The following is a 1,923-nucleotide window of genomic DNA, read 5'->3' on the forward strand; positions in this document are numbered from 1 at the left end:
TGCCTTGTAGCGACCTTGAAGGATAAAGGCAGGTCCAGCAGAGGGTCTAACATCCAGGGAAACCTCCCTGGAGAGCTTGGGCTTCACTAGGGATCCTTGGCTCCAGGTGGAATAAGTCCTGAATGGGTGCCTTTCGGGTTGGGTGACAAACCAAGGGAAAGATATTCTGGGGGGAGGGGATGGGACAATAGGAAAGCAAAGTCTCTTTAGCACCCTCCATGTTGATGATTTCTATTTTTAGAATTGTCAAGTTTCCTTTCCTTCCTTCCTCCCTCCCTTCTTTCCTTTCTTTTTTCTCAATCTCTCCTTTTTCATCCAACTGAAACCTGTGGGAAATGCTGGTATCTTCCTGAGCTGAAACCTTTTAAAAAATTTTTAATCTGATTTCAGAGAGGCATGTGTTGATCCCTCCATTGTCTATGATGGAACAAAATCTCAGACCCGTAATTATCTCTTCTCCTGGCAGGCCTTAAGATGAAACAGACAGGAAGACCTGAGCGGATTCTTCTCAGATGCCACCTCTTAGCACTGGGCTTTGCGAGCCTGTTATTTGGGGCGCTGCAGAAGGCAAGGACCTATCCCGCCAAGGATCAATGGGAAAATAAGCAGTTGCTTGTGAATAGACTGCGGTCTCCTGCAGTTGTCAGGCCTCCTTGGTAATGGCTATTTATCCCCACTTAATTGCTACCTGGGTTCCCCTCATTCTGTGCTGGCTGGCACTTCCCACCACTGCCACCCTGGGCAAACTCAGGGCAGCCTGCAGAGGTGCAGCATGCCTGCCCGCCAGCCCCTTCACAGAAGCTGAAGATGCTGGTGACCTCAGCAAGTGTGCATTGGTGACACCACCCTTTACTGTCTCTCTCCTGCGTGGTGTTACCCTGATCATCGATGCCTCGTGACAGCTGCACTGGCTGAGCCTTGAGATCTGCTTGCCAGCCATGCTGTGTCCGGGTGGTTCGTGGGTAGACTTGAGTGATAGTACTTCTATCTGACAACAAACAGTCTGAAGCTGAAAGAAAAAAAAAGAAAAGAAAAGAAAAGTGTGTTCCTGGAAAGCGGAAGAGCCCAGAGAACTTCAGAGAAAGGGCCTCTAAGCCCATCTATGTCTGGATGTCTTGTTATGTGATATGATAAATGGATACCCTTAAAATAAGAGAGAAAAACACATTAGCACCTAAGTAAAAATCCCACACAAAATCGGATAAACCAAACCACACAGTATAGCATGAGTAAATTTGACAAATATAAACTAGCTTGAACTTGGAAAATCAAATCCTGTAATTTATAAGCATCAAGAAGAGACAACTCACAGAATAGGAGAAAATATTTGTACATTATCTACTAGACAGTGGCCTCGTGTCCAAAATATATAAAGAACAATGACAGTTTAACAGTAGAAAAACAATGCTAGCCTGACAAAGGCAAGGCAAAAAAAAAAAAAAAGATAATCCGATTTAAAAAGATTTGAACAGGCATTTCTACAAAGAAAATATACAAATGGGGCAGGGCATAGTGGCTCACACCTGTAATCCCAGTACTTTGGGAGGCTGAGGAGAGACGAACCCTTGAGACCAGGAATTTGAGACCAGCCTGAGCAACATAGTGAGACCTCATCTTTACTAAAAGAAAAAAATTAGCTGGGCATGGTGGCTGGTGCCAGTAGTTCCCGCTACTTGGGAGGCTGAGGTGGGATGATGGCTTGAGTTCAGAAATTCGAGGCTGCAGTGGGCTGTGACTGAGCCACTGTACTCCAGCTTGGGCAACAGAACAAGTCCCTGTCTCAAAAAATAAATTAAATAAATAAAGAATGCAAATGTCCAATAAGCACATCAAACAATGTTCAACACAATCATTGGGAAAATGTAAATCAAAATTACAATGGACTACCATTTCACATCCACCAGGATGGCTATAAGCAGACAT

Source organism: Homo sapiens, chromosome 2, assembly GCF_000001405.40.
Source record: "Homo sapiens chromosome 2, GRCh38.p14 Primary Assembly".
In the NCBI taxonomy this organism is placed as follows: domain Eukaryota; kingdom Metazoa; phylum Chordata; class Mammalia; order Primates; family Hominidae; genus Homo; species Homo sapiens.